We start from the raw sequence: 27,599 nt of genomic DNA, 5'->3' as shown, positions 1-27,599 counted from the left end.
ACGGGGAAGAATGAGGATGTAGGGAAGTCCCCAGAGACCCTAACACTCAGGCCCTTCCTCGGAAGCTGCCGGATTCCAGAAGGCAGTTGGGGCTGGGGAGGAGAGGTTCCTGGGAGGGGGACAGCCAGCCCCAGCCCTCACTGCCCAGGCAACCCTGTGCCAGTTCCTCCACATCACAGGCCGCCCGGGCCCTGATGGGGGCCTAACAGGGGAGCACTTCCTAAGCCGGCCAGCCCCACCACCTTCCGCCAGCTCAGCTAAGGCCCGCCACCACCCACCAGGACTTGCACTCACCTCAAGTTTTCCTTTTCATCAACTCACTTTTAAAAACTCTTTAAACATTAAAATGTATCTCTCTCTCTTACCATCCACAGATGGCAACTAAAATATATCCACGGGTTGCACTGAAAAGCCCTAGCTTCCTTGTCCGCAATTCTGAAATCCAGGAGGCCCTGAAAAACTAAAAAACAAAAATTCCTAAGTTTGTGGCAAATCATTTGGCCATGAGACTGCATGCTGACAGACAAAAGGCTACGCGGCTTTGTCTCACATCTCCAACACGTAGAGAAAAGTGAAGTCTGGAACTGTGGGGCACGGCCAGGACCCAGCCAGGGCTTGAGTCAGTGGTCAGCGGCCCAGCCATGGTCACTGGCTTTTTTTGTTGTTGTTTTTTTTTTTGAGACGGAGTCTTGCTCTTTCACTCAGGCTGGAGTGCAGTGGCCTGATCTCAGCTCACTGCAACCTCTGCCTCCTGGGTTCAAGCAATTCTCCTGCCTTAGCCTCCCGAGTAGCTGGGACTACAGGCACCTACCACCATGCCCAACTAATTTTTGTGGTACAGATGGCGTTTCACCACGTTGGTCAGGCTGGTCTCAAACTCCTGACCTCAAGCAATCCACCGCCCTCGGCGTCCCAAAGTGCTGGGATTACAGGAGTGAGCCATCGTGCCCGGCTTCACGTTCACTTTCTGAAGTCAAAAAAAAAAAAAAAACACCAAAGGGAAACATGAGTTGCAAGGATCACTCGAGCCTAGGAGTTCAAACTCAGCCTGAGCAACACAGGGAGGCCCTGTCTCTAAAACAAAAACAAAATAGCTGGGTGTGGTGGCACCTGCCTGTGGCCTCAGCTACTCAGGAGGCTAAGGTGGGAGGATCACTTAAACCGGGGAGGTTGAGGCTGCAGTGAGCTATGATTGCACCACTGCACTCCAGCCTGGGCAACAGAGCAAGACCCTGTCTCCAGAAAAAGAAACACCTCTAGTCCCAAGGGTTTTCAGATAAGGGGTTACAGATCCACACAACGAAAACAAAACCAATACTGCTTCGTTCTGTTCTAGACACTGCCCTGCTCCAGGCTTGGAGCCTGCCACCAGGGTCAGTTCGTCTCTGGCCTGTTCAGACTCACGGAGAAGAAAGTAGAGAGCAGCCAGGGCTGCAGGAAGTGGAGTTCATGTTTACCGGGGACAGTTCAGTGTGAGAAGACAAAGTTCTGGTGACGGACGGTGGTGGTGGCTGCACAGCACTGTGAACGCATTTAATGCCACCGAACTGTACACGTAAAAATAGCTGAAATAGTCCATTTCCCGTCATCTTAGCACGACAAAAATTGTTGAGGTTTGTGTGACCTACTAGCCCTTGAACTGTCCCCTTGCAGTAAGATTAAATGTGGGGCGAAAGAGGGCAATGTCCTCTTGGGGTGATTCATTGTCAGTGAATGCTGCGTCAGCAGGGCCCCTTGAAACACGTCATCCGGTGTTAAGAGTTCAGCCCACACCTGGAAACACCTGCCCAGAGCTGACAGGTCAGGATTTAGAGAACAGGGCCCTGGGTTCAGGCTCTGCCTCCACTGCATAAGAGCTGTGTGACGTGGGGGAAACCACATGACCTCTCTAAGCAAAGCTTCCTTCTTTCTTCAAGGAGATGGAGGATACTTGCAGCCACCGAGACCCAAGCCCCCAGGAAAATGCTCCATAAACATTCATTATTCTCCCTGTGATTACTAGATAAAGGTGAGGTTGGCGAGCCCACCTGCCGTGGGAGATAGGAAAAACATCCAAGGGTTCTATGAGGTCCCTGTCCCGAGGAAACTCAAGACCCCTGGTAGAAAGATATAAAACTGGGCCCCAAGGACAAACCTGTGTATTATGTGATAAAAATGGGATCCGAGCATATTTGAAGGTGGGAGGAAAGAGTGACAAGGTGTCAGCAAGCGGGTGAAGGAAAAGGCAGAATTATCTTCAGCCCGCAGAGGGTGGGATAACAGAGGAGACGAAGGCAGAAGGCAGGGTGACAGCCCACAGCTATTTTTATTTATGGCAAAAAGAGAAGAGGGCAAAGTCAGGCAGGGGCTGGTGGCTGCGTCTTCTGGCCTAGGAGTTTCATGTGTCCCCCTCGTCCTCCACATCCCACAGTGGCCATCCACGCTGTCCCATCACTGGTGCTCGGACCACTGCAGTAGCCCCCTCCCTGCTCTCCCAGCCACCAGCCTCTGGAAGCCACCTTGGTCTCCACACGGGGGTCTGCCAGCCACATCACACCCCTGCTCAAAACCGTTCCCTGCTGTGTGGCTGAGTGGGCAAAGCATACCTTCTGAATAGAATGTCCCAATGTCATCCTTTTTGGATCCTGAGCTCCCAAACTTAGACTTCAGAGAGAAAAAAAAAGGGAAGAGCTGCAAACTCGGTGTTCCGGCCCGCAGCACTTTTCACAGGAGAAAAAACTACGCATTACCCAGAAATCAGCGGAGGGGCCTCCTGGAGAAGAAACGTGTCTCTTTTCGCAGCTAAGCCGATGCGCCTCTGATAAATTAAACGCAGCTGGACACTCTGGTTTGTATTCTTGGAGAGGGTGTTTACATTTTAAAATAAACACATCGCCCTCCTTCAAGTCTTTTGGTCAGAAGACTCGGCCCCGTGAGTCCCACCAGTGGACAGAAGAAACCCCACAGCCAGGTACTGTGGCTCTCGCCTGTAATCTCCACACTTTGGGAGGCTGAGGCGGGAGGATTGCTTGAGTCCAGGAGTTTGAAGCCAGCCTGGACAACATAGTGAAACCCCATCTCTATAAAATATACAGGCGGGGCACGGTGGCTCATGCCTATAATTCCAGCACTCTGAGAAGCCGAGGCGGGCGGATCATCTGAGGTCAGGAGGTTGAGACAAGCCTGGCCAACATGCTGAAACCCTGTCTCTACTAAAACAAAACAAAACAAAACAAAAATTAGCTGGGCATGGTAGCACATGCCTGTGATCCCAGCTACTCGGGAGGCTGAGGCAGCAGAATCACTTGAACCAGGGAGGCAGAGGTTGTGGTGAACCAAGATCACGCCACTGCACTCCAGCCTGGGCAACAGAGCGAGACTCCGTCTCCCAAAAAAAAAAAAAAATTAGCCGGGTGTGGTGGTGCATGCCTGTAGTCCCAGCCACTCCAGAGGCTGAGGTGGGAGGATCGCTTGAGCCCAGGAAGTCGAGGCTGCAGTGAGTCACGATCACACCACTGTACTCCAGCCTGGGCGACTAAGTGAGACCCTGTCTCGAAATAAAAAAGAAGGAACCCCACACTCTAGCTCATATTTTCTCAAAACAAGGAGGCCTGGCAAGGAGCAAGGGGCTAAAGGGTCGGGGTGGGGGGTCTCTGCAGTGTAGGGCGGAATCAAATGGGGGCATTGCAGTCTCAGCAGAAAGAACCGTGGCATCCAGGGCTGAGTGGGCACTGTCCAGGGAAGACGGCAGCCCTCCCCAGCCCCAGACTCTGGCCAGCAGAGCTCAGGCTACCCCCATCCCGACCCTCCCAGCACATCACCACTGGATGCACCCTGGCTCTGCTCATCCACTGCTTTATGGCCTGTCTCCCCCATCGCAAGGTCAGCTCCTGGCAGCCGGGGACTCTGGTCTGTGTTGACCACAGCTAGGCACCCCCACCCTGTCCAAGGACAAGCCTGGCCCACAGCTGGGGCCTAGAAAACACGTTCCAAGGACATGTCTCAGTGTACTTTGCCAGCTGCTCTCATCCCCTGTTGACCTCGTCCGTAGAGAGGACCCTTTCCTCTCCCCTTTTACAGCCAGGAACACATGACTTCGGTCTTTCTGAGCCCTGGTCCCCATGGTTGGGAGCTACAGTGACCCTGTGGGTCCTCAGGTTCACTGCAGCTCCCAGCCCTCCCAGTGGTGGCCAGGGCTTCTGATCTTCCTTCCCTTCTGCCACCCACATAGAGGCTGACTCCCAGCCTGAGGTGTGAGGACGCTGAGGGCCACACCTGCACGTCCTGGCCACCCTCTGCTGGAACAGGACTCGCCCAACCAAGGGGTGCTCTCGGTAGGAGGCAGGAGTTGTTGACTCCTTGGCATTTGGTTTGTCACTGACTGTATCTAGGAATTGCCCTGCGTGCTCACCACACATCCAAGATGGAAAGAAAACACACCTCACGAGAACCACGCTGATTTTTGCTCCAACAGCCCCGTGGGGACCCTGGGCTGGCGGTGCTACCCGGACAAACCCTCTCTCTGCTCCAGGCCTCGGATTCTCAGCTATAACAACGTGCAGGAGGGGACTGCCCCTCTAGGTCCCTTGGCCAACGAGGAGATGGGGCAGGCAGATGAAGTTGCTTGCTCTAAGGTGACACAGAGTGGGGACGCCAGGACCAGGGAGGGCCTTGATCCCGGAGGGAGCTGCCAAGCTTCCTAGCATAGAGAGGGATTGACTTTAGTCTGCAGAGAGGCCAGCGCTCTTGTGACTGCCGGCGACGCAGGAAACACTGTCCCCAGGACCCATCTTCTGGAACCAAGTGGAAGACCTGAATTATTTGGGTTTTAGGCCCTAGGCTGAGATAAAAGATTTGGGATTTTAAAGCTAGAAGTGACACCCTGGGTGTTATGCTGGAACAGGAATTGAGTTAAAGACGCTGTAAGCAAAAAACCAGTTATATGTAAGAAATTCCCCGAGGAAGAGAAAGGGCTGGAGTCCTTTAAAATTAACTGCCTGCTCTTCTCTCTGTGGCTAGTGAGCCTCATCTCTCCCTTTCCCAGGCATTGGGAAGACTCCCTTCCCGCCCCTCTCCAAGTGGACGGAGGGGGCTCACTGGGGTCCCACAATCCCCCTTCCCACGTGGATCCCCAAGTGGCTCTGGGTCCACCGTTCTGAACTGCCCGTCCCTGTGTCTGGCTTCCCCGCCAGGCTCCGAGCTCCGAGGGGCCAGGTCTTGTTGTCTCTGTGCCTGGCATGCAGGAGGTGCTCAATAAATGGCTGATCGATAAATCAATCACATCCAACCCCTCGTCTGACCCCACAGGAAACGCAGAAGTTAAGCGGCTGGCCTGAGATCACCAAATAAGCAGCAGGTCCCATACCGGGGTCTCCAGACTCCCTGGCCAGTGCTCATCCTCTGACGCAGTACAGGCTTCTCCAAGTGTCCTGGACACATATTCACAGGGGAGAAACCCAAGCCCAGGGTGACCTTCAAATTCAGTTAAAAATGGATTCTGCTGATCTTAATAAAAGATCCATTTAGCTTCTGAATGAGGGAATGAAAATTCCGGCAGGCCCCCCCGCCCCGTCTAAACATGCGGTCTAAACACAGGGCCTAATGGGACTCCCTCCCAACACAGGGAGCCTTGGCAAAGAAGGATAGCATGTCGCTGGATTAATTTATGGAGCTGCTCAAGGTCAGGGCAGGTCTGGCTGCCAGCAACCGGGGAAAGAGCACGTCTGTGTTCCACCCATCGAGAAACAATGCTTACCAAAGGCCTCGGATGGAATCCAGAAAACTCTCCAAACTCCCCCTGGGCACCAGAGACTCAGCCAGTACCAGCCACACTGAGGGCCCTTTTTTCTCTTTCTCTCTCAAATTAAGAAAGTCACACACACTCATTGTGACAAGCCAAGACGCAGGAGTGCACACGTGAACTTGACGCCAATCCCTTCCCTGCTCTCTCCTCTCCCATCCCCCAGGGGCTGACAGTCAGATGCAGGTCCCCTCCAAGTTCTCCATGAAACTTGTGAACAAGTTGGAACTTGGAACAAAGTTCCAGAGGACAGAGGGGCCTTCTCTCCCTAGTCACCTAAACTGAGATTATCCCATGCACATTACTCAACATTTCAGGGGCCTCACTCAGGTCGAGACAATGATAACACGGGCCCCAACCCTCTACCCACAACCCCCAAGTCCAAAAGTTCTGGAAACCATACGTTTTTCTTAACTCGTTTGGCAGCAAAAACTGCCCTGCCCTGAGACTATTTAGAGCCCTCGTTTTTCCCCACTGGGCGTGAATACTCACATGTTTTGCAGCAGAAACATGACCGTGTTTGGTTATCGGGTGCTGCCCCCGACTCCGCTGGGGTGTCGTGTCAAACACAGCATCGGTACTAAAGCATCTGTCTGAGGTTCTGAAAAATCCTGACTTCCGAGACATATCTGGCCCCAAAGGTATCAGACCAGGGGCTGCAGGTCAGAAGTGATGGGAACAGGAGCTGCTGGCTTTGATTTGTTTTATTTTTTAACTCTGTGTAAATGGAATTAGGCTGCTGACTTCTGAAACACAGAGGCTCTCATTCTTTCTAACCTTTCCGGGACAGTCTCAGCAGTGCGGTGCCCTGGTGCATCCTGAGTCTTCTCCTTCGTGGTTAAGTTCATGGGGTTAATTTTGACGACCACAAGACGCTGCAGTGGTCATCCTCAATGGTGCAAATGCACCCCCTGGAATCTTTACCTCGATAGGGGATTAGCAGGGGGGACCCAAATGGTGTCAGAAATATAGGGCAGAAGAAGGCGGATTTGACAAATGTGGCATAGAGCAATACTCCAAGACTCTAAATCCAGAGAGCTGCATCCAAGTCCATCCCCTGCGTGACTCGAGGCAAGTGACTTAACCTCTCTGGGCCTCAGGAACATGGGAAGCTGCAAAGCTGCTTCCAACTCTCCTTTGACAGCTGCCACCCCTGTCCCAGCCAGGGTTACGGCCCCCACCTCCAACGTGGTTCTTGCTGATTTCCTCCTCTCCTTCTTCCAACTCGCCTGCCCGGTGGCACTCAGAAAAATCCTTCTTGTAAGATGTTTTGTTACAGCGTCGTTCACCCCCGCTCCAAATACACAGTGGCTTATTACCGCCCCAGTGAATGGAGCTCAAGCTCCTCTGTGGGTTTTTTAAATCTTACATTAAAAATATTAAAGTACTTAAAATTCCACCAACCATAAGATAGCTGACTTCACCTATGCCTGTTCCTCCTCTCCCCTCACACGTAGGCAGAGGTACATGCCTGCGATTGGATGGTGGAGTCTGAACAGGTCTGTTTCTCCCTTTTCCCACCTCACAAATCTCCTGAGTGATTCCTGTACCGGGAACAAGTCTTTATGATGATCTGAAAGCTACTGGCCTCACGACCGGCCCTGGCTGAGCTATGACTGCCCCGAACACTCACTGTTAGCCATTTTTAGCCACTCACTTTTAGCCTCTTCTTAAAAAAAAATACACAGACCTAGGCACCTTGGATCCTGCTCTGTAGACACTTGTGTCCACCCCAACCTTGGCAGCAGAACTTCAGATTCGCACCCTGGAGAGAAGGTCTTTTCAGCCATTTCCTGAAACACACTGCACAGAACAGAAGTCCAACACAGTAGACATCCGTGCATTAAAGGCACTGATAAGTCCTGCAGCCAAAGCTCCTGGTTAACTGTCTTTAATCTAACTGTTTCCCAAATGCATTTGAGCAAGGGGGAAAAAAAATCCCAACACTCGAGTCATTAGTCTTCCTGGCACACACATGGGGCCCTGCTAAGGGTCCACGGTCACCTCCCATACTTCCAGAGTCATCTCCTGCTCAAAAACCTTCCAGAATGGCCCCTGTCTCCCTGGTAACCAGTCTGAATCCTGATTGTTTGCAATCAACCTCTTTTTACCTCTTAGAAAAAGAAGCTCATTGTGGTTACTGCCTTGTGCACATCTAGAAGAAATAGTCCCAGACCAGCCTCTGACCTCCTGGGTGACGTTAAGCGAATCCACTGGCCTCCCTAAGCCACAGTCTCCTTCATCTATGAAATGAAAGAACCAGCATCCCAGGACTAGGATTTTTGGGTTCTAGTCTATCCAGGGCCAGGGGTCTCAGCCCAGAGCTGCAGCAGAGACCACAAGGGCGCCCGGACACGGAGTCCAAGAACAGCAGCAAAGAGAGAAGGTGACCATTCTCCTGAACGGATTCAGGGGCGTGGAGTCAGAGTGAAGCTCTGCTACGTCGTTGAGTCAGAGTCGAGCTCTGCCACATACTGGCCGCATGAGCCTGGGCAAGGCCTTCACCTCCCAGAGCCTCATTTCCTTTTTCAAAAATGAAGCAGGCTACACACAGATGTACGCACACACAAACACGCGCGCGCACACACACACACAAGTGCATGTACAACTGGAGAAGTCGGAATAAGATCTATGGACTGTCGACGTCAGTGCCCTGACTGTGGCATTGTACTATAGTTACCCAAAAGGTTACCACTGGGAAACATTCAGTGAAGGGTACACTGGCTCTTCATTATTTCTCACAACTGCAGGTCAATCTACAATTATCTCAGAATAAAATGCTTTTAAAAATTGGCTGGATGCAGTGGCTCATGCCTGTAATCCCAGCACTTTGGGAGGCTGAGGCGGGTGGATCACTGAGGCCACAAGTTCAAGACCAGCCTGGCCAACATGGCAAAACCCTGTCTCTGCTAAAAATACAAAAATTAGTCAGGCATGGTGGCGGGTGCCTGTAATCCCAGCTACTCGGGAGGCTGAGGCAGGAGAATCGCTTGAACCCGGGAGGCGGAGGTTGCAGTGAGCTGAGGTCACACCACTGCACTTCAGCCTGGGCGACAGGGTGAGACCAACTCAAAAAAAACAAAAGCAAAAAACAAAAAAAAGAAGCAGGTGAGCCCAGGAGTTCAAAGCTTCAGTAAGCTATGATATGCCACTGTACTCCAACTTGGGTGACTGAGCAATATCCTGCCTCTACAAAAAAATAAAAATAAGAATAAATTTAGAAACGTAGCAGGAATACTCATGCAGATGTGGCAGCTATTCAACAGGATGGTGTGTTTATCATTCCTTTCCAATGCCTATCCACGTCACGAGTGTTCAATAAACAGACACCGAAGAATTGAATGAATGGAGAAATAGAGGGAATGTGGACTCGGTGTTCAACCTTTTTTCTTATTCTTTTGATGAAGTCTTAATAGTCCAGAAAAGGAAACCCGTTTTGAAGTCCGATGGCTGGGTACACTGTAACCAGAGGGCTCCCTATGGTCTCCCAAGCATTAGAGGCCTTACCAAGATGTGCCAGATGCCGGGGGAAGAGCCTCCTAGCAGGCTCCCAGCCCCCTCCAACAGCCCTCCTGCCCTAGTCGGCCAGACGCCAGGTTGGGCGCAGGCACACAGCCAGCAGAACCAAGAACAGGGGTCACTCTTGTTTGCGAGGGCATTTACACAAATCCCCCCTTCTTCCCAAAAGGGCGAGGCAGCTTCCAGGTGAGGCCCAGATGCTGCCTCGACCCCATCGCCTTCTCTCCTTCTGCCTTAGTCCCTTCCAACAGCTGGCCCAGGGAAGCCACCCAGAGGCTGCCAAAGAGAATATCCCCCTCCTGATCTCACGCCCTCTGCCACTTGCTGAAGCTGGCGAGGAGGCCAGGAGGCCTCCAGGCTCCCCAGTGCCCGACGAGCTTAGGCTCCGGAACCTGCAAGGTCACTCAATAAGAACAAAAGGGTGAGGGGGACAGGCCCAGGATGGAGGCAGCAGAAGCACAGATGAGGTCCACAAAGGCTCCTGCAGAGCCACTCACACCTGTGAAGCTAGAAACAACCTGGGCACCCAGCAACGGGCGGCCATATGCACCCAATGAAACTCCTGTTCTAGAAGAATGCTGAGCCACGTGAGGCCATATAACAATGCTTGGCACATTGCTCTAACACGTCCTAACTTGCTTAACCTTTGAAACAACCTTCCAATAGACATATGGCTATTAACCTTTACAGATGGGGAAATTATAGCACAGAAAGGTTAAGTAACAGACCCAAGAACGCACAGCTAGCAAGGGGTAGAGCCCCGATTTGAACCCCAGCATCTTGCTCTACAGTGGAATAATCCTAACCCCTCTAAAAGACATTCATGATGTCCTGGGTGAAAAAGACCAAAACATACAATGTACAGCATGGTCCCACCCACAGTACTGCCTATGTGTGCACCCTGCACGTGTCTGAGTGCACCAGAATGTGCATGAGCAAAAAAGGGCTGGAAGCTCTGGATGGCGGAACTTAGGTCATTTTCATTACCTCCTTCACATCTCTGCTGTCTACATTTTCAACATGAATAGCTTAGACTTCGGAAAGATTCAAAACTGCTGCCCTTGTCCTCCTTGGTGCCCTGCCCCTCTGCACACGCCCACCCATGCCTGCCCACCCTGGAGACCCTGCTAATGGCCTAAGTCCTTCAGGCCCCCAGACCGTCCCACCACCCAAGTCTATCCGTCATGGTGTCAGGGAAATCTTCTAGCCAGAAGCCTTGCAAGTATCACCTCCCATACGTGTTGCATCAGCACAAGCGGCCCTTCTCACCCGGGGCGTTTACTCTCGAGGTGAGGGATAAGTTCCGGCCTCTACTCGGAGCCCATCACAGGCACGAGGACTATGTTTGTAGCAACACCGGGGGATGTTCATGCCGGGGCGTGAAGTGAGCAGAAGAGGCACAGCGGCACGTAGAGTTCCATCTCAACTTGATAGAAAGTACGTACTGAACATGCCGAGGGGGAAACAGGAAAGATCAGCTGTCTCTGCCTCTGAGCTGCTCAGGGAGCACTGCTCCTTCATTCCTCTCTGAACTTTCCAAAATTCCTACAGCAAGCATGGAATAATCATAAAAATGAAAGCTAATGTGGCCAGGCAGAATGGGGTTTCTTTCAGGGGTGAATTTCTAAGATTAGACAGCGGTGATGGTTATACAATTTTGTGAATATACTAAAAACATTGAATTGTACACTTTAAAGGGCAAATTATATAATAAAGCTGCAATATTTTATATATATACATTTGTTGTTGTTGTTTTTGTTGTCGTTGTTGTTGAGATGGATTCTGGCTCTGTTGCCCAGGCTGCAGTGCAGTGGTGCAATCTTGGCTCACTGCAGCCTCTGCTTCCCAGGTTCAAGCAATTCTCCCGCCTCAGCCTCGCAAGTAGCTGGGATTACAGGCACACAACACCACGCCCAGCTAATTGTTTGTATTTTTAGTAGAGACAGGGTTTCACCATGTTGGCCAGGCTGGTGTCGAACTCATGGCCTAAAGCGATCCACCTGCCGTGACCTCCCAAAGTGCTGGGATTACAGGCATGAGCAAGACTCTGTAATTCTAAAATATATATATCTTTTAAAAGAATGGAACTGACACAGAAGCAGCTGTCAGTGGCTCTGACAGGACCCTAGGCCACCCTGGAGATGAAAGAGCAGTGGGTCTGCAGGATGCTGCTCACCATCAGCCCCACCCTGGTGAGTCCGCCCTTTGTGCCCTGGGCCAGGAATCCCACACAGGCTTGGCAGCTGGGGCTGACCTCCCATGGCCCCTCAAATTGCTAATGTAAAAATACCAGGATATCTATTGCCAGAGGGACAGTCTTGGCTGATGAAGCAGAAATTCCCAGGGCACTGGCATTCTGCCTCAGCCTCTGACAGGCTAAGTTGGAGGCAAGTCCTCCGTATTGGTGGGCAAGTCCCTTTCCCTTCCTGGGCCTTGGAGTCCTGTTAAAGTGAAGAGTGTTAGACTCAACTTCACCCAGTTTTGTGATTCTCAACAGACACTCATATTTGTTAAAAATACAAAGACAAGTGAAACTGGAATTTCAATCAAGGTTATGGATAAACCATACTTTGTAGCAAAAGCACAGAAGGTCACAAATACTTTAAATGGTGGATACTTTGTATAAGAAATGAAACACAATATTATTAAATGCATATGCTCCAAATAACACAGCCACTAATATATGAGAGAGCCAGCAATTCTTTATGATCTGTGATTCTGAGATAAAGTAGTTCTCTTTTCTGCATTAAAAAATATTTCAGTTTAGTATCTTTCTTACTTATCCAAGTTTTCATAAAATCCACTCAAGCCAAAGGACACACCATCTGGACTTCACCAATGTCCATCACAGGGGCAGGTGATAGAGAGAAATTGCTTTAGCCTCCACTGGCTCAATGCATAGAGAGAAGATCAGGCTTGGGAAGTGTGCCCTTAGACCTAGATAACTTGGAACAGTCCCGGTGTTTTCATACACATTTCTTCTAGATTTGCAAAAACAGAACAAGATAGGTGACAAGTGCAAAAGATGATACATCTTAAGCCCCCCAAAAAACTGGTTCAAAAACTTTAAAGAGGTAAATCTCTAAAATATAAACCTTTTGGGAGATTAATAAAATTCCTATACTGGTTAAGAAAAGAGTAGGCACCAATATCAGGAATGAAAGGGGGGACATCATTACAGAACCTACAGGCATTAGAAAGATAATAAAGAAATATTAAGAACAAAGTTTTATCAACTAATTTGACTACCTAGACAAAATGAATAAGCTCTTTGAAAACAATAAATCACCAAAACTGACTTAAGAAGAAATAAACCTCATGGGAGAATTCTCATTGTCAGTACATCAAGACATTGGCCAAGTTTCCCATCTACTTAAGAAGGTAATTCAGAAAAAGATTACCAACTGGAACAGGTTTTTAAATGTGGACAAATCTGGTTTGTTTTGGCAGTGATGTCTCTTAGAACTTTTATTTACTGTGGTTTTTAAAGACATATACTTAATGCCATTTTTATTGTTTTTCCCTAACCTCCCATTTTCACTGAGACTTTGATCTTGCCAGCTGTGATTTTGCCAAGTGCAGTGCTTTTCAGGAATGCCACTCCCACAGCTGGCAAGGAATCACTGTGTACAATGCACAAAAGAAAAACAATAGAGGGTCAATGGGTAAAAATTCAAATTTTAGCTATTTTTTCTATCTAGTTGGAGAAACAGGGCTTACACATATGAGTCAATCAGAAGACAACATGAAGTCAAATAGAATAAAGTGCTAGGTTATTATCAAATGTCAAAAATGCTACATACAGATAAGTGTCTAGGTCAGCCAGGAGAGGGAAGAGAAACTTCAGCTGGCAGGAGCCAGCAAAGAAGGCTCCCCGGAGCAGGAAAATAGGCAGAAATGTGAAAGAAAGAGCATGTGTCAAGACTTAATGGTGGGAACAAGCTTGGCTCTTCAAGGAATGGTGAGGAATAGGCTTCCGGCAGCACTGGAGCGTGTGCAGGGAAATGTGTCTATAACAATGGTTGTTTACATTCTGGGAGTCACATGTCCCCCACAGCAAGTCTGATAAAAGCCACTGATCCTCTCTCCAGAAAATGCACATATGCACCAGATTTTGCATTAAATTTTGAGGGTTAAGAAAGGTGAATGTAAGAACAGAGGTAGTGATGAGGATGATGGATCTTTGTAAACTCCTGTGTTTTTTTGTTTTGTTTTTTTTTTTTTTAAGATAGAGATAAGGTCCCACTCTAACACCCAGGCTGGAGTGCAGTGGTGTGATCATAGCTCACTGCAGCCTTGAACTCCTCGGCTCAAGTAATCCTCCTGCCTCAGCCTCCCCCGTATCTGGAACTATAGGGCATGCCACCACGTCTGGCTAATTTTTAATTTTTTTGTAGAGATGGCGTCTTGCTATGTTGCCCAGGCTAGTCTTTAACTCCCGGCCTCAAGTGATCCTCCTGCCTTAGCCTCCCAAAGTGCTGGGAGCCACTGTGCCTGGCCTCCCCTAGCTCTTTCCCATAACCTGACCTAAAAAGTAGCCCTCCTGATTCACCTGGACTAAAAGGGTCTAGGTCCCTGTGTTTTTGAGGTCTAGGTGACAGCTCTCCAGAACAGTGAGAACGGAGGAACAGAAGGGAAATAATAAATAGCAAAAGTAATAAGAGCCAACATTAATTGAGCACATACTATGTACTACAGCCTGTGACACACACTCTACTGTAATTCCCATATACAGATGAGGGAACAGGGCCCGCAGACAGACGGTCAGGCAGCAGGTGCCCGCTGACTGCTGCCCAGTGCCCAGCAGCCCCGTGAAGGACCACGTGTCTGAATGCCCCTCCGTCTCTCAGATGAGCACTGGGAGCCCACGGGGTGTTGAGGGAGCCTGGATCCCAGGTACCCTCCAGCCACTCGCAGGTTTCCATCCCACACCTGCCTCCCCTTGGATGACAGTGGCCACGGCCTGGCAGCCACTGTGAACAGGGCCCAGCACCCTGCAGGTGGTACCAAGGCCCATGGGAGACGTGCCAGGAGTCTGGGAGCAGGGGTCCTGCTACAAGGCCAGGGTGGTCCAGGTGGGGGAAGGGAAGGGTTATCCTGAGCGTGAGGGGCACAGGCCCCTTCATTCCCACGGCCTTTGAGTGGGGCCTCAGCTACCTCCCCCTGCCTTTCCTCTGCCCCTAAATAACCACAGCGATCATTTCCCCAGTCTGGACCACAGGAAGGGCCCTCGGCTATGGCTTCACGTGCTCCATGTCCCACAGTCCTGTGAGGTCGGTCCCAAGCCTGTCCCTGTGTGTGGGTGAGGAGCCCAAGGCCCAGAGAATGGAGTGACCTGCTGAGGCCACCCAGGTAGGAGCAGGTGGGGGCGAGGCCTGATGTCCGCACACCCTTAGCCAAACCACGCCATCTCCCGGTCAAGAGCAGACCAGCACGACTGTTCCTGAAGCCTGGGTTTCTCTGTCACAGGAAAGGGATAGTACTCGCGCTGGCCTCAGCTTCTTTTGTAAGGATGGCTGGAGAGCCAGGTGACACTGAGCAAGAATGGGCTTCGTCACGGGAAAAACTTGAGAAGCAAGTTTTTAACTCCTTCTCTCTCTTCCCCCAGAGCAGGGCTCTCAGTCCAGGAAGCGGGGGCCCCGGTGCTCCCCAGGGCCTTGGCGCAGCCTGAAGCTGCCCCCAGCACTGCCCAGCGTCGCTCTGTCCCTTCCACCAGCCAAGGCTCCCGAGCTGCGGGGCTGCCAGCTCTGCTGCTGCTGACGCTGCATTCCACTGGCCTGATTAAGGCCCTGGAGCTGCTGCAGCCACAGTCACAAGGGATCCCATCATGCCTCCTAGGCCCCAAGCTCCAGGCACCTGGACACCACAGAGCCTGCCAGGCAGCTGAGTCGCTCCCACTGGCCGGCTCCAGACCTGGAGGCGACAGAAACAAGAGGCACCTCAAGGAGGACCACTCCCCAGAGACACCAAGCGTGGCTGCGTCACTGCACCAACCCCAGTGCTGGCCCAGCACATGCTCAGCAGGGCTGGCCTCATCCAGACCCCACCAAATCACCCTGAGGGGCTGGTGGGAAAGAGGAAGTCAACTTCCCTGGTACACCCGTCAGAGGGTCCTGTTTACAGGGTCAGTGAGATAATGTCTTGTAATCGATACATGGCAACCATCGCTGCTATTTCTTTATCACCACCACCATCATCATCATCCTTACTGTATTTCACTGATTTGAAGACTCAGACTGTTTAGATTTTTTTGTCTTTTGTTGTTTTGATATAGGGTCTTACTCTGTCACCCAGGCTGGAGTGCAGTGGCATGATCATAGCTCACTGCAGCCTCAAACTTCTGAGCTCAGGCCATTCTCAGCCTCCTGACTAGCTGGGACCACAGACATGCGCCACCACACACGGCTAAATTTTTTTTTTTTTTTTCTTGAGACAGAGTCTCACTCTGTCGCCCAGGCTGGAGTACAGTGGCACGATCTCGGCTCACTGCAACCTACTCCTCCAAGGTTCAAGCAATTCTCCTGCCTCAGCCTCTCTAGTAGCTGGGACTACAGGCATGCGCCACCACACCCAGTTAATTTTTGTATTTTTAGTAGAGATGGGGTTTCACCATGTTGGCCAGGATGGTCTTGATCTTCTGACCTCATGATCCACCTGCCTCGGCCTCGTAAAATGCTGGGATTACAGGTGTGAGCGACCGCACCCGGACAATTTTTTAATTATTTGTACATATGGGGTCTCACTATGTTGTTCAGGCTGGTCTCGAGCTCCTGGGCTCAAGCAATTCTCCTGCCTTGCCTCTCAAACTGCCGGGATTACAGACGTGAGCCACTGTACCCAACCTGTTTTACATGTTAATGTATGTGAAATGTGAAATCAGGACAAAATCTCACGATGGGTGGAGGGTCAGTCTCCCAAGGCAGCATCTTCTCAAGCCTAGGGGGACATAGAACAGTATCAGTGGTGACTATGGTCAGATGTCGCTGCCCGGCCCATCGTGGTCTCTCGCGCTGGCTTCCATCTACTCTCATCTGGCACACAGTAAGGCCCGTGAAACTGCTGACCGAACCCACCCATCACCCTGCTCAGGCCTCCGCGCCCTCGGCAGAGATGCCCCTCACTGTGTCAATTTCCCCCATAAACATCTCCTAGACAACGGCCCTCCCAGCCCCCGCAGGGCCCTCCAGAGTTTCCCAGAATGCCCCAGGGAGGGTTCAGACCATGGGCAGGAGGCCTTCTGCCAGCACGGAGCCCCTGAGGCACTTCAGGCCACAGCCTGGCGAGGGCGAAGCACCAGGAAGTGGATTTGGCTGGGGCTCCCAAAAGCCCACACAGACCAGGGGAGCCAGACACGGGGGACGTTTCTCCTGCTATCCAGAGAAATTCTTATGACATGTGAGTCCTGGGAAGATCTGGCCAATATGCTCAGAACCATCTCACCAAACAGGGAGATGGCGCCAGGAGCTCCAGAGCTAGAGCTTAGTGAGAAGTTTCCAGTGGGTATTCCAAGCGTGCTCAGCCCAGCTCTCTGCAGGCTGCAGGCCAGATGCTGCGCTCTGCATGGAGGTGACTTCTGGGGCTGCTGGGAGGTCCTCTGCCAAGGGCAGGCGGGGACACAGCTCTGGCCACCTGGCAATCATGAAACCAGAAAGTCACTGGGAAGGAGCATCTCTCAGACCCATGGCCCCAAAGCGACTGTTGGAGTAGAGAAAACCTGTGTGCAGCTGGGCTGAGAAGGGAGCACTCTGCCCCTGGAGCTGACACCTGTGTGGCCTTGGGCAAGTCACTTTCCCTCTCCGAACCTCAGAGACCTCAGTGTCCAGATGTGAATAATTCAGATAAAAGAGGTGCCAAGACAAAGATGCTGCCAGAGATGGAGGAGCTGCATCATAGTGGAAACAGCGCCGATTCATCTGAAAGACAAAACAACCACGAATGTGCCAAATCCACGATGAAAGACTGGACAAAACTAAAGGGACAAAAAGACAAATCCAAACTGTAGTAGAAATCAGCACTCTTTTCTTAGCAACTGATAGACACACACAAAAAAAGTTAATGACCTAGACAATTTGAACACTGCTACCAAGCACCAATCTCTTCAAGTTAATTAATATGTAGAGAACCAAATACTGCTGTTTCCATATCCTCTTCAAGAGCTTGTGGTCCCTTCTTCAAGAGCGTACACTTAAATATAAAAGGATTAAAGCCATACAGAGTACCTTCTCTGTTCACAGAATTAAATTAGAAATCAATAACCATAAGATATTAAGATAGTCCAATGTTTGGAAATTAAGCAACATACTTCTAAATAATCCATAGGTCAAAGAAAAAAAACACAAGGGAAATTGAAAAATATTTCAAATGAGATGAGAATGAGAAATGACTTATCACAAAGTGTGGGGTGCAGCTAAAGCAGTGCTTAGAGGAACATGCATAGCTTTAATTGCCTCTATTAAAGTAGGGATAATAATCCCTCCCATGCAGTATTTTAGAGAAAAGGAGCTCTCATGGGGGAAAGAGGGAAGCATATGGGGAATGCTTAGCAAATATGCCAGTGCCTGGCCCCCTTCTTAAGTATAATTTAGCAGGCATCACTGAGGTTAGAAATTTCTCTCTCCACATCCTGAGGGAAAACATGACTTTGCAGATTCCCCTCTTTTCCCCTAGGGAATACAAGATCAAGAATTTGCCAGGCATGCAGGGGAAGGGGGAGTAGAGACATCAGAAGATGCCACCAGCAGAGTCACTGGGGAGCCACAGGCATTGGTTCTGAGACAAGGTAATAAACCAGAACCAGAAACAACAAAAAGACAGGCCTGAGTCACAAATGGGGTCCAGAAGCCCTTCCCAAGACTCTTCCTGTTCCCCAGAACTCCCCAGGCAGAATTCTCAGAGCTGCAGAGGATCCTCAGAAGCCTGTCATTCCTTCCTGACACATCACAGGTGACGCCTTGCTTCTGAGGGAGTGAGTTCGCCATCCCTGGAAGGATTCAAGAGGAGACTGAAGACTCTCTGGGGAATGATAAGTAAGGCCACAGAAACAAATATGAACAATTACCGAGTTTTTACTGGGAGCTTGGTCTGTGCAGAACACGTCAACAGCTTTGTCTCACCCTCATGACATCTCTGTGAAGAAAGTTCTAGAAAGGAGGCAAAGGGTGGTATCTGAGAGCCAGACTTTGGGTCAGACACACAGGGATCCCATGTCAGCTCTGCTGCTCCCCAGCTCTGACCTTGGCACGTGTCTCCACCTCTCTGAGCCTCAGCCTGTACATCTGTAAAATGGGGATAATCACCTCTGAGGTAAAGGGGGGCATCCACGTAGGTGAGCCATCATTCCTGTCCCAGCTTTACAGCCAAGCCTAAGACAGGCCAGTCGACTTACCAAGTGTCACACAACAGAGAAGGACAAGTGCAAACATCTATCTGAGTCCAAATGGCCCCAGGGCATGGAGGACGGCCAGATCACCAAATCAGAAGGGACCCTCTGGGGTCACAGATGAGAACCCAGAGGACCACAGGGGTGAGGGCAGAGCAGGGAGGAGTCTGGGTGCCCTGGCTGTGGAACACCAGCCTCTCCAACCCCACCCTGTACCTTTCCTCCCCAGCCACTGTGCCCACCTCCTTCCTGGTGCAGCCCAGCTGGACTCCAGAGTCTGTGCCAAGTTGTGTCTTAAGACGGACACCCCTACGGCCAAGAGGAAACAGTGGCACAGGTGAGAGCTAGGCTGGCACACGGGCCCTGCCAGATTCACCTCCAGGCAAGAATGTGAGTGTGTGTGCATGAGTGTGCATGAATGAGAGAGGGTGTGTGGGAGTGTGTGCATACACATGTGTGTGAGGACATGCGGGTGTGTGTACATGCAAATGACTGTGCAGGTGTATGAGTGCGAATGTGGCGGTGAGGGGGTGAGGGTACAGGTGTGCATGGAAGAGCACGCATGTGAGTGTGTGGGCACAGGTGTGAGACAGTGTATGAGTGTGCACGGGAGTGATGCATGTATGAATGCATGTGACCGCATGTGTAACAGTGAGTATGCATACAAGTGTGTGGGTGGGTTTGCATGTGAACGTGTACGCATACAAGTGTGCGAGCGTGGTGCAGGAGAAGGAGGTGCAAGGTGCGTGTGTGCGAGAGGGAGGCGGGTGTGCTGGGGTGTGTGGGTCAGAGGAGTGGTGGGGGCAAAACTACCCCACCCTGTGGATGCTGGGGCAGGAGGGGCTTCACTCCCATCTCATGCAGCCGTCAACAATCCACTGTCCCTCCCACGCAGGCGGCTCCCAGCACGCCTGTTGGCTTGGCCTGCCTCCCTGAAGACCTGCACTGCACCAGGTCTTAAACCCTAAAGACAGGCCTGGTTCACCTTGTCACCTGCCAAGAGACAGGTGAGCAGTCAGCGTGCTCCAGGTTTCTCCCGTTAATGGGAAGTGCTCTTGCAGGAGGCATCCAGCAGTCACACCCCTGGGCGCTCAGAAAACCAGACCCTGCACTGACCCCAAACACTTACGAATCAGGAAGAAAACGCAGTTTCCGGAAGAGAAAGAGGTTGAGGCATGGGAGAAGCAGCGATCCCCCCTGCAGGGACCAGGCCGCCAGGGGAGTGACACCTTGTCTGGGTGCTGCCTTTCACCATGGGGCTCACACGTGAGGCCACCTGAAGGCCAGGCCCGAGCCTCCTCCCATCCTCTGGAGCCTGCCTGGTTTCTTGGACAACAGGGCTGAACCCAGAGGCCATTCTGCACGCCCTGGGGTCCACCAGGTACATTCTGGCCTTCTGTACGAGGCTGATGGTGGGTATTGTTCCCACGATGGCACCTCCTCCCCCCACAGGAGCCCAGACTACCCGGACTCCTGGCAGCGGGGGGCGGGGAGGGTGGGGGAGGGCTTCCCAGGAGCCCTCGCTGTCCACCGTGCGTCCCCCATGCTTGGTGTGAACAGCCTTGCTGGGGATGCCGCGCAGCCTGGAAGCAGAGCACGAAGCCACATTCTGGACGTTCCGGGGCTCCCTTGTCCAGAGGCTCCTGGGTACAATTGCACAAGAGAAAGAACAGTGTACAGCCGTGAGACGGTCCGTCTCAAAGGGCAAGGGCACGCCTGGAGGACGCGCCAGCTCAAAGGGACTGCAGATTCACAGAGCTGGCGCTGCAGCTGTGGCAAGGCCCCGCCATGCTCTCGGGACATCCAGGCCTCAACCTACCCTCAGCTGCCATCCAGGTGCCTCCTGGCCTCCCTTTGCTGCTGGGTCTGGACCCCAGGACCCGTCCCAGCCCCATGGCCAGTCCTGTCGTGTCTGGAAGTGTGGAGGCCCCACGCCACTTTTCAGCTGCCGCCCTTATCACTGTCACTCCCCCACACAAGCCTCCTAGCCTGCAAACCTTCCCACCCGAAGCGGGAGACTAGGTTGATGGGTCTGGAAAGGTGAATAAAACGCCGCAGCAGCGGTCAGCCCTCTGACCCTCTCCCTCCGGAACTGAGAGCCTTTCTGAAAGCTGATGCGAGAGAGCACGGCGGCCTCCTGTGCTCAATCAGGGGCAGGGCCGTGTGGAAGCCAGGCCCCCACCAGGGCTGCATCGCCTCCCAGAAGCACCCCTGAACTCCAGGGCAGGGGAAAGGCTGAGGCAGTGGCATTGGACTGGCCACTCTCCCACACCTCCCAGCCCTGCCAATGACGGCTGGCACCTCCACCCCGAACTCTCTTAAGTTTCTGAGCCTTGGCCTCCTTATCTGAAAAGCGGGAATGATACCATCCGCCCATGGGGCCATTCACGCCCCCTCTGTGGTCCAAGGAGAAATGGGAAGGCTTTAGGGAGGGGAGGAACTGGCACCCTGCCCAAGGTCACCAAGTTAGCCGGTGTCAGCGTGGAGCCCAGATGAGACCCAGAAGGATCCCGGGGCCAGCGGACCCTGTGGGCAGCTGCGGAAGCTGGGGCTGACACCAGACACATGGCCCGGCATTCACCGGCTCTAAGCTTTCCAAGTTCAACATCATGAAACACATGTTCTTTCTATATGTAAAATACGACACAATCTGAAAATGACTTAAAACGTTGAAATGGTTCCCACAGTATAATACATTGGCAGGCAGCACCCTGGCACACATTTAAAGAAGAAAATCAGGACCTTTTAAGGTGACATCACTGGTACGTAAATTCCAGAAGAGGAAGCTTTTCTACATTCGCCACTTCGTTAAATCCTAAGAACTCATCGGATACCCCTTCTCCAGGGAGGCTTCCTGACCCCATCTACCTTCATCTCCCTCCCAGCCTGCCTTCCCATTCAGGATGGGTGTGATGAGCATGGCAGAGTGCAGACGCTGGAGCCAGGCAGCCTGGGTGCGGATCCCGGCGCCGGCACTTCCCCACTGTGTGACTTTGGGCAAGTGACTTAACCTCTCTGTGCCTCCATTGCCTTGTCTATAAAAACAAATAAGCCCACTTATAAGACAGTGAGACAGTCACGTGGGGCAATGCAGGCAAAACTCTTCGGACACTGGCTGGCACCAGGCGCATGCTATCAATGCCCTCTGCTGCTGCCACTGACACTGGCGTCCCCTTGCAGCTCTCATCAGAGCCCGAGGGCTTGGGAGTGGAGGGCCGGAACCTAAATACCCTTTCTGTGCCAACAAATGACACTAATGATGGGCAGGATAGCGTGGCCTCGGTGGGTGACCTTTGAGGGGCCGCCTTTGGGCCCTGGGCTGCCTCCTCTCCCCAGCCCACTCTCGCCAAGTGGAAAGAGCTGCAGCCAGAGGCACCTGCCCCGGGCCCTGGCTTGGCAGGGCAGAATACCAACCCCGGCCTTTGTGCCACTCCAATGAGGTTCTGCACCTCTCGCGGGAAGCCCAATCCAGCAACCGATTTAATCAAGGGCTCCACGCCAGACAGGCCAGGCAGCAGAGCTTAAAACACAGCAGTCAGGGCAACCAGACCCCAGGCAGGGAACCTGAGAGCCATGGGCTCACAGAGCCAGGCCAGACCCCAACCGCCCAGGTCTTCCCTGCCCCACAGCCCCCCGCCAACACATGTAGAAAGACGAGATGGTTAGCGACTGTCAGCTGTGCAGGAGCTGAGGGCTCAGCTAATAGTCTATCATCTACCATCTGCCCCCATTTTCCAGAGGGGAAAACTGAGACCCAGCCAGGGTAGAACATCTTGCCCAAGGCTGCTGTGAGTGTTGGGGCCATAACCCAAGGCTTCTGATGCCCAGGGTTGTGGCTGGAGCAAGGCAAAAGCCCCCAGAGCCAATGCAAACCCCTTCTCAATTCTTAGTACAGCTCCCCTCATCCCAGGGAGAACAAAAACGATCGCCATCTTCAAACACAAATCCACTGCCTGAAGACCAGGAGTAAGAGGATGGACTGCAGGCAGAAGTGATGAAACAGGGCTTCAAGGAGTCACCAATATGACTTTTCCAAACCTAAGCCCTATCACGTCATTTGCCTGCTGAAAACCCCCAACGGGAAAACAGTCCTCAGAGGGTTAAATCTCCAGTGACCCTAGGACGCAGCAACCTTACTCCCAGGCGCACACTCAAGAGAAATGAAGACATCTGTGAACACTTGCCCATGCGTGTTCACAGTGGCATGATTCAGAGGAGCCAAAAAGCAGAAACAAGCCGATGTCCACGGTCTGATGTTGGGGACACAGAACGTGGTCCATCCATACAACGGCGTTCTTAGCCACAAAACGGGATGAAGCTCTGATCCACGCAACAGCATGGATGAACCCTGAAAACATGGTGCTGCGTGAAAGAAGCCAGTCACAAAAAGGCACGAATTAGATGATTCCACTCACAAGAGACGACCAGAACGGGCAGATCCATAAAGACAGAGGGCAGACGAGTGGGTGCCAGGGGTGGGTGGAGGAGGCGACGGGGATTGACTCCTGACGGGCACAGGGTGTCCTTTGGGGGTGATGGGAATGTTCTGGAACTGGACAGTCATGGTGGTGCACAACTTCGTGACTGCACTGAAACCCACTGAACTGTACACTTTCAAAGGGTGACTTTCACGGTGTGTGAATTGTATCACAATTAAAACAACAACAAAAACCACCATGCTTTCTCCAGGGCAGCCCCACAGTCCCTATTCCCACCTGACGGGTCCCCGCCCGCTGCTACAATGGACAACGTACCCCTCATCCCTCCCTGCCCACCCCCCGCACCTCCCTCCTCACCGTCCCTCAGTCCCACCTCGAGCCCCTGCCAGGACACTCGTCACTGTGCAGACGGCAGGCCCCCACCACCCCTCTCTCCGGCCACTCTGCTGGCCACCATCACTGCCCCCAAGACCCTGCCTGGTTGCTCACTGCTGGGTCCTGGTGTCTAGAACAGTGCCTGGGACACAGTGGGCACTCAGTAAACACAGGCTGAAACCTGGAATAGCATCCTTTTCCCGTGGCCTTCCAGGATAAATCCCAGACTCCTCAGCTGTGCCCACGATGCCGTCCGTCAGCAGTTCTCACCCTTGCACTTGAATCTGCTAGAAGCTTTAAAATACCATGGCCCGGGACCACCCCTCAGAGATCCTGATTTAACAGGCCTGGGGGCAGGGCCCTGTCATTGGTATTTTTAAATTCAGATTGATTGACACTGATTCGAGTGTGCACCCAGGGATTCCAAACACCGCCGGGAATGCTGGTCCTGCCCACCCCTCGTGCCCGTCCCCTCTTCTGGCTCCATGCAGAATGACTGTTCGCCAGCACATTACCCCCCAACATCCAGGCCTTAACACTTGCTCCTCTGCCAGGAGCACATGGCCCCTACACGGACTTGGCTGAATCCTTTTCAGTCTTCAGGACTCAGCTTAGATGTCACCTCCTCCAGGAAGTCTTCCCTGTGCACGCCTGTTTCTCACCCTGCCATAGGCTCTCAGCAGACCCTTCCCTGACCTCAGCACAGAACTCAATGCACTGCACAACCACGGCTGGACCTCTTCACTGGTTCCTCAACCTCTCATCGCCCACCAGCACCCTGAGGTCAGGGGATGCCTGATGTCATAGCAGGTGCCCAGAGCGCCACATGCTCCCGGAGTGCCTGGCCCAGGGCAGACACACGTTGTTCAGTTAGTGGGTAGAATATGGGTGCTCTTCTCCAAGGTAGATATGGATGAGGGTAGAGGCTCACACAGGGACGGGAGGCAGGACTGCAGTTCGTCCCTGGCCCAGCACTGCCAGGGTATAGCGTTGTCTGAAAGTGATGGTCTGTGAGATTCTTCCTGACCCTAACATGTTATCCTCCAAGGGACAGAACCCCATGGCGTTTTGGGGTCCCGGCATCATATACTAAATTTAAAACCAGGCCCCAAGATGAAGTCATGCTCCCGTTCTTAGCCTCACAGCAGAGACTGCCAATAAATCACAAGACGTTTTCCTAGAGAGTCCAGACATGGCCTCAGAACCCTTCTTAACACAGCACGAGATGGCAGAATGAGACACCACGTACACAACGCAAATCGCCTGTGATCTTTGCAGACCAGTCCTGTCACTTTGACGGATGGGGAAACTGGATGAAGGTCGCCCAGTGAGGAGGGGCTCCTTCCACAACTGACCCCAAGAGTGTCCCACCTGGAGCTATGTGCAGTCAGGAGGCAAGTCCTGCAACGCTCTTCTCCGAGGACAGACATGGCATCTCTCTTCAGTGTCCCCACTAGAAGGGGGACCTGAGGCGGAAGAGGGCCCTGAATTCTGTATGCGGGGTCTTCCCCAGCCAATAAAAGGTGCCCAGAAGCTATACATCCTCCAAAGACACTCCCAGCAGAGTTAACCTCACAAGGGTGAGATCCTGAGAGATCTAAGCAGAGGAGGAACCAGGAAGCTTTGCCGACCCTGGCTCCTCCAGCCTCACCCCTTCCCCCTCCTGCTTCCAGGGGAGGCCGAGTTTTGAAGACCTTTCGCCTTCACTTCCTCCTTCCCCTGGTTTTCTCCGACTGCCTCCGGGTTTAGGAGGGGCACAGCTGGAAAGCTCACTCCTCTGAGTTTGAGAAGGGCCTGGCCACTTTCCAGCTGCTGCCAAGGAGAGGGTGCCAGTACCAGCCCCAGCCAGGCTGCCTCCTGTGGCACCTTCCAGAAGGTCCCCACTTCCAATCAGTCCTGACCAGGTGTTCCAGAGCCTGGGCCTGGGGAGGAGGGGCAGCCAGGCCCCCTGAGGAGCAGGGAACTGCGTGGGCGCAGATAGTCAGGAAGCATGGGAAACAGATGTGCACGTGGCCTGATGGGTGGGTGACGACAGACGCTCTCTGCAGACCTCAGATGTCCCTGCAGAGAAGAAAGGTGGTTGCGGCAGCAACACCTGTTCTGGGCTCGGAGGCCACACTCGGGGGGCCTGGCCGGGGCATCCCCACAGTGAGAGGCTGGGGTATGGTTAGGTAAACAGCTGCATGCGCCATTAACCAGAATGCTCTCCGGACAGAGTCCTGGAAGCGGGAAGCGCGGCCCGCCCGCCAACTGGCTTGCAGGGAGAGCCAATCCATCATGCAGCAGACCCATCTTCGACGGGAGCTCTCCCAGCAACAGAAGGAAGGTGCCGGCTAAGACCTCAACAGATGGTCCACACTGGGGAAGCCAAGGCACGGGGCACCACTGCTCAGTAAGCAAAGAAACTCAGGGGTGCAGCCAAGGCAGCCAAGTGGGGCGTCTCAGGGCCTCTGCCCCATGCAAGCTAACTCCTGCCCCTGAGATGTTCTAGAGGCTGTGGCAAGGAGGGGTGGGCACACACAGGAAATTAAGAGCCACTGCCCCACCTCCAGGCCATGGCCACCTCCACAACTGCAGACCCACAGGAGACAGAAAGGCAGGATTTGGGGAGGCCAAGGTGGGAGGATCACTTGAGCTTAGGAGATCAGCCAGGGCAACAGAGTCTCTAGAAAACAACAAAAAATTAGCTTGGCATGGTGGCGCACACCTATGGTCCCAGCTACTCAGAAGACTGGGGTGGGAGGTTTGCTTGAGCTCAGGAGGGGGAGGCTGCAGTGAGTGCACATTGTACCATTGCACGCCAGCCTGGGCAACAGAGTGAGACCCTGTCTCAAAACAAAAGAAAAGAAGCAAACAAAAAGGCAAGACCAAGTAGAGGCTGGAGCACAGACTCAAGAGCTGGACTCAGGCCCGACGCTGGTCCTGGGGTTACTAGCTGAGTGACCTTGGACAAGTTGCTTAACCTCTCTGAACTTATTTCCTTATTTACGAAAAGGGAACAGTGGCACCTCCTGAAACCGGGCTGCGGCGAGGCTTCAGTATGTGTGAATACAGGTGAAGTGTGCACGCCTCCTGGAGGGTGGGAAGCACTCCATAATGGTTATCACCCGCATTATCACGTCCCCAAATGCCGCCCCCAACATCCTGGCTGGCCTTGTTTCTAGCTCTGAAGGGAGGGACAGCCGTTCCCCATCCCAGCAGAAAGGCAGCAGGCAGAGGCTGCAATCTCAGAAACCCAGCGTCGCGCCAGCAGCACTTCACGGGGGCGGGGGGAAGGGGGCGTCAACGCATCCGCAACCCCACTGCGAGCCAGGCGCTCTCACCCAGGCCGGCTCACTCGGTTCCAAGGCCCAGACAGGGCAAGAGTCTTACCCAACATCACACAGCCGACTCCCAGCAGCATGAAGATTGAAGCCAGGCTTGTCTTAAGGCAAGCCCGGGGTCCTTCCAGGGTTTCACAGAGCTTCCTTGGGAAGCTTGCAGGGAAGGGTCCGTCCTTGGGGCAGGGGTGCCCAGCCCAGAAGAGCAGGCTTCAGCCCTCCCCAGGCCACCCCAGACACAGCCCTGGCGAAGGAGGCACGAGTCAGGTGCCTGCAGAGCATGGTGCTCTCTGGGGACCCGGGGCCCAGCTGGAGGGAAAAGTGCAAATCCTATCCAAAGCAGAAGGTGCAGGGGACACCCTCCTCCTCTTCTTTCTTTCTTCTCTTTATTTTTCTCATGTTTCCTCTTGTGTTTTAAAGCTGATTCGCTAACGCATGAACACATCATAGGGAACAATAGGGAACAACTGAGGAGTCACAGGAAGCAGCAGAGATCATGGTTCTGGGACATGCCACGTCCCCAGCTGAGTGGCTTCCCCGCAGCTAACTTCCACTGCCCTCCTCATCCCACCTAAATTCTCAAACCACCCCCCAAAAGACAGATGGGAAGATGCACGTGAGGATCAAGATCTTGGGGGCTGGCATGAGGAAATGGGCTTGGGGACAGCCCCTCCACCCTCTCTCCCTCCCCAGGGGGCTCACAGGCTTCTCCCCTGCCCGGAGCCCCAGCTCTCATTCCCAGCTCCTGCAAGTGTCACCTTCGCTGCCCATGCCCACCCTGGCACTGG

General features: G+C 52.8%; 1 protein-coding gene across 6 annotated transcripts in view, besides 5 other annotated features; it reads right to left on the bottom strand.

Annotated features, from left to right (window-relative positions):
• Positions 1 to 27,599, bottom strand: part of GSE1 (Gse1 coiled-coil protein) — a 506,689-nt gene that overhangs the window by 473,871 nt on the left and 5,219 nt on the right. The window contains exons 2-4 of one of the 6 annotated variants that reach the window (XR_001751877.2): positions 19,807 to 20,320; positions 18,357 to 18,986; positions 17,296 to 18,278 (exon numbers count right to left, since the gene is read on the bottom strand). The exons of 4 other annotated variants lie outside the window; for them this stretch is intronic. Coding sequence is in view for 1 of the 2 variants with exons in the window: in XM_017023084.2 (XP_016878573.1) it covers positions 18,772 to 18,986; positions 19,807 to 20,320 (729 nt within the window). In the remaining variant the exon portion in view is untranslated. Of the gene's footprint in view, positions 1 to 17,295; positions 18,987 to 19,806; positions 20,321 to 27,599 lie in introns of those variants that run through there. One more of the 6 variants, XM_017023084.2, reaches the window with a different exon arrangement.
• Positions 624 to 1,360: an enhancer, noted in NCBI's record as "H3K27ac-H3K4me1 hESC enhancer chr16:85234576-85235312 (GRCh37/hg19 assembly coordinates)". NCBI's record gives its function as "activates a minimal SCP1, AML or CMV promoter by ChIP-STARR-seq in primed H9 embryonic stem cells {active_cell/tissue: H9 hESC(primed)}" and the evidence as "EXISTENCE:reporter gene assay evidence [ECO:0000049][PMID:30033119]".
• Positions 1,398 to 2,597: an enhancer, noted in NCBI's record as "BRD4-independent group 4 enhancer chr16:85233339-85234538 (GRCh37/hg19 assembly coordinates)". NCBI's record gives its function as "activates an origin of replication core promoter dependent on BRD2, P300/CBP, MED14 and CDK7 cofactors, and independent of BRD4, by STARR-seq in HCT116 cells {active_cell/tissue: HCT116}" and the evidence as "EXISTENCE:reporter gene assay evidence [ECO:0000049][PMID:35650434]".
• Positions 2,014 to 2,513: an enhancer, noted in NCBI's record as "H3K4me1 hESC enhancer chr16:85233423-85233922 (GRCh37/hg19 assembly coordinates)". NCBI's record gives its function as "activates a minimal SCP1, AML or CMV promoter by ChIP-STARR-seq in naive H9 embryonic stem cells {active_cell/tissue: H9 hESC(naive)}" and the evidence as "EXISTENCE:reporter gene assay evidence [ECO:0000049][PMID:30033119]".
• Positions 11,410 to 11,910: an enhancer, noted in NCBI's record as "H3K4me1 hESC enhancer chr16:85224026-85224526 (GRCh37/hg19 assembly coordinates)". NCBI's record gives its function as "activates a minimal SCP1, AML or CMV promoter by ChIP-STARR-seq in naive H9 embryonic stem cells {active_cell/tissue: H9 hESC(naive)}" and the evidence as "EXISTENCE:reporter gene assay evidence [ECO:0000049][PMID:30033119]".
• Positions 13,835 to 14,775: an enhancer, noted in NCBI's record as "H3K27ac-H3K4me1 hESC enhancer chr16:85221161-85222101 (GRCh37/hg19 assembly coordinates)". NCBI's record gives its function as "activates a minimal SCP1, AML or CMV promoter by ChIP-STARR-seq in naive H9 embryonic stem cells {active_cell/tissue: H9 hESC(naive)}" and the evidence as "EXISTENCE:reporter gene assay evidence [ECO:0000049][PMID:30033119]".

The sequence above is a fragment of the Homo sapiens genome, chromosome 16 (assembly GCF_000001405.40).
Source record: "Homo sapiens chromosome 16, GRCh38.p14 Primary Assembly".
In the NCBI taxonomy this organism is placed as follows: Eukaryota; Metazoa; Chordata; class Mammalia; order Primates; family Hominidae; genus Homo; species Homo sapiens.
This window is presented reverse-complemented; position numbering and strand designations above follow the sequence as displayed.